The sequence below is a fragment of the Homo sapiens genome, chromosome 18 (genome assembly GCF_000001405.40).
Source record: "Homo sapiens chromosome 18, GRCh38.p14 Primary Assembly".
NCBI lineage: Eukaryota > Metazoa > Chordata > Mammalia > Primates > Hominidae > Homo > Homo sapiens.
The window spans coordinates 77,292,389-77,296,588 of record NC_000018.10 but is presented as its reverse complement, the minus strand read 5'-3'; positions in this window follow the sequence as shown (position 1 = coordinate 77,296,588).

Here is a 4,200-nt window from a genome sequence, read left to right as displayed (position 1 = left end):
ATTGTCCAAAAGTCATCTGCATAGGGAAAAGCCATTTCCACATTGGCACTGCTATTTGCCTTTTTCACTGTGTTAAAATTTGCACTGGAGATGCAGTAGCAATAGCGGGGAGAACTGCGGAAGTTTAACACTAACCAAGGCAGTGGCCCCATAGGAGGAATGAAGAACAGGTAACAAAGCCACTCCCTCATTACAATTTTTTTTAAAACATGATTATCTGCATAAAAATATTCAAGGAGTTAATGATTGCTATTTTAACAAATTAATGAATTTTACTAAATTTCTGTTTTAATTTCTAACAGAGTAAATGTAGAGACAATCTACATAAACCAAAACTCTTTGGGGTCCTCAAATCATCAAGAGAGTAAGACGTCCCAAGTCCCTTGAGAAATCCTGCTCTATACTTCATTTCCAACTGCCAACTGCATGTTTTTCCCTGGATTAACCTCAGTGTGCTTGAGATGAGTCTTTGTTTTTCCCCAAATACCTCTCTTTCTGTCCTATCTGTCCCCGTTCCTGACACCGCTAACCCTCCTGCCATATAAGTCACAAGTCTCCAGGCCTTTCTTGCCTGCTCCTAGACCTTCCCTGGTTTTGCCTTGCTTGCAGCTGCCCATATCCAATAAGCTCCCAGCTCCTGTCTATTCTGCATGGAAAATCACTTTCAAATTCATTAGCCCTCCTCCAGTCCCATCATTGCCATCTACCACATGCTAAGACTGAATCAATTAATATTTACTCAGCAACGTCTATGTTGGCCTCCTGTGGCACCCACTCTAGACCCGATTTCCCAGCACACATCCCCAGCCACCTTCTCCCTTGCCTGTCTCAAATCCAGAGACTGGAAAAGCAACAATATTTAGTCCCCTGGAGGCATGGGGAGCCATCTGACATAGCTCCACCTAAGGAAGCCAGAGTGGAATTCTGCTGCGGCTTCCCCTTCCTTCCTTCTCCTCTTCCTTTATTGACTGGAGTAAATACTAGAATTGCAGTAGCTATTTTGTGACCATCAGAAGAATGTGAGAGAAATAGAGGGGCATAGAGACTGAAGTTATTGAGCTCTAAGCCAATGACAGGCTACCTAGTTCTTTTCTTTACAAACCAGAAAGTCAACAGAACACGACTATTAGTTAGATCCACTCTGGTTTGGTTTTCTATAATCTTCAGCTCAGAGAGTGACTAAGACACATCTCTTGTTTTTCCTGCCTCCATTCTCCATCTTCTGAGATGCATTGTCCTCACTTCTGTAAGAGAGACCTTCGCAGGGTGTAGTGCACTGCCATAACACCAACCTTCCAAAGTCTCCCCTCGCTCATCAGCTAAAATTCACACTCCTGAACCCAAAATCTAAAGGTCATCTGTAGACTTCTTCCCCCTGCCTTCCAAGTGCCCCTTTCTGCTGCAATCCCAGTCCAAACTGAACCCCATCATCGTAAGCTGCTTCCTCATCCCCAAATGGCTGGGTACTCTTCTGTTTCTTCCAGTTCCTTGGTTTTCTCCTTTTTCCTAAAATTCCTCCTTTCCTCACTTTGTTTTTTTCAGGAGGGTTAGGAGGATGCACAAGGTGTTATCAAATCATTATCCAAGCCTCTCCACATCTTCCTTCCCAGGGAGACAGAGATGGCCATGCTCTGTTCCCACAGTACATGCTCAAGTCCCGTGTGATTGTCTGTGTTGTCTGAGGGATTTTGATCTCTCCCCTGGGCCAGGAGCTCCTTGAAAAGCAAAATAGATTATATGCACTCAATAATCCCTGTCATCCTACACAATCCTTGGTGCATTAAGCCATTCTTGCACTGCTAAAAAATACCTGAGACTAGGTAATTTATAAAGAAAGAAAATTTAGTTAGCTCATGGTTCTGCAGGCTCTACAGGAAGCATGGTGCTAGCATCTGCTCAGCTTCTGGGGAGGCCTCAAGAAGCTACAACCATGGCAGAAGGCAAAGTGGGATCAGGCATCTCACATGGCAAGAGTGATAATGTATTAGTCCATTCTCACATTGCTATAAAGAACTACCCAATACTGAGTAGTTTGTAAAGAAAACAGGTTTAATTGACTGACAGTTCTGCAGACTGTACAGCAGGCATGGCTGTGAGGCCTCAGGAAACTTACAATCATGGCAGAAAGGTGAAGGGGAAGCAAACACATCTTCACATGGCGACGTGATAGAGAGGAGAGAGACAGAGAGAGAGAGATGGAGAGAGAGAGCGTGTGAGAGCAAAGGGGAATTGCTACACACTTTTAAACAACCAGATCTCATGAGAACTCACTCACAACAACAGCAAGGGGCAAACGGCACCCATGATCCAGTCACCTCCAAGCAGGTCCCTCCCCCAACACTGGGGATTACAATTCAACATGAGATCTGAGTTGGGACACAGCCTAACCACATCAGGGAGCAAGAGAGAGCGTGGAGGGGAGAGGTTCTCTCATGAGAACTCACTCACTATCACGAGGACAGCACCAAGACATTCACAAGGGATCCACTCCCATGACCCAAACACCACCCACCAGACCCCACCTCCCAACACTGGGGATTACAATTCAACATGAGATTTGAGTGGGGACACAGAGCCAAACCACATCAGGGAGCAAGAGAGACAGTGGAGGGGAGAGGTTCTCTCATGAGAACTCACTCACTCACTATCACGAGGACAGCACCAAGACATTCACGAGGGATCCACTCCCATGACCCAAAAACCTCCCACCAGACCCCTCCTCCCAACACTGGGGATTACAATTCAACATGAGATTTGGTGGGGACAAACATCCAAACTGGATCACTTGGCAGAGTGTAAAGTCTCAACAGTTATTGTGTAAATAAATAAACGTATTATCTCCAATAAAGCTAAAGGTTTTTTTCTCTAGTCTACCAATGATTTACTTTTCATTCACCTCTTTATTAAATTTTTTATTCAGTACTGATTTATCTTATATTCATATTTTTACATAGCTGTGACTTGGATGTGCAAGGACATCTCAAAGTGTTTTATTTCCTGCTAACATTTTTTGAACCATGACTAAGAGTGTGCCAAACTGAATCAAATGCCTTTAAAATTCTTAATTAGTGTGGTTGGATGTTGCCCTCTCTTAAATTAGGGTATGCAGCAGTCATCTATTTATTTATTTATTTATTTTTATTTTATTTTATTATTTTTTTTGAGACGGAGTCTTGCTCTGTCACCCAGGCTGGAGTGCAGTGGCGCAATCTCGGCTCACTGCAAGCTCTGCCTCCCAGGTTCACGCCATTCTCCTGCCTCAGCCTCCCCAGTAGCTGGGACTACAGGCGCCTGCCACCAAGCCCAGCTTTGTTTTTTTTTGTATTTTTAGTAGAGATGGGGTTTCACCGTGTTAGCCAGGATGGTCTTGATCTCCTGACCTCGTGATCTGCCCACCTCTGCCTCCCAAAGTCATCTATTTTAAATTCGGTCACCATTGAGCCAACAACTCCTGCTTACCAGATACAGAGATTTTTGGTCCTAAAAGTGAATATATTTCATCTATGGGTAAACCATAATGCATCTTCCAAATGTCACTGTCTATTTTTTAGGAGAAATGCAACTATAGAAGAACTGGGAGAAAATCACCTGCTAGTAGGAACCCACTGCAGCACATTCCCCTAGTTGCAGTGGACACCCAGTACACTTCCTGACCCAGGGTCACTCGGTCTCAACCCAAGAAGAGGCAGAGGCCCTTAGAACAAAGGCAAATTCTGAGAGAAATAGTTTTTTGATGTGTGTAAACGTCCTGTCTGTTTAAACTTATTGATACTTATTTCCACAGAATAAAATCTCTTTTTTAAAAATCCAAAACAATGTCTCATGATGTTCAGTTGTGGTTGGGAAATATGGATGCCCAATAAGCATTAAATATGTACCATGGTACATAAATGTATCTTATAGTCATCTACTAAAATTAAAATGCTAAAAGATTTTCATGGGCCTGGTCAATAAATCAAACTTGTGGCACAGTGAGAAAAGCAAACAAACAAAACAATCCTGACGGGAGTTCAAGGAGAGGGGTTTGTTTTTTACTGATCTATAACTCATATATCTCATATATGATAATTACTATCATAATTCACTATTTTAAATGGTAAAATTCAGTGGTTTTTAGTATATTCACAGGTTGTAAAATCACCATCCCTAATTTCAAAACATTTTTATCACCCCAAAAAGAGGCCTTGAACCACTTAACCA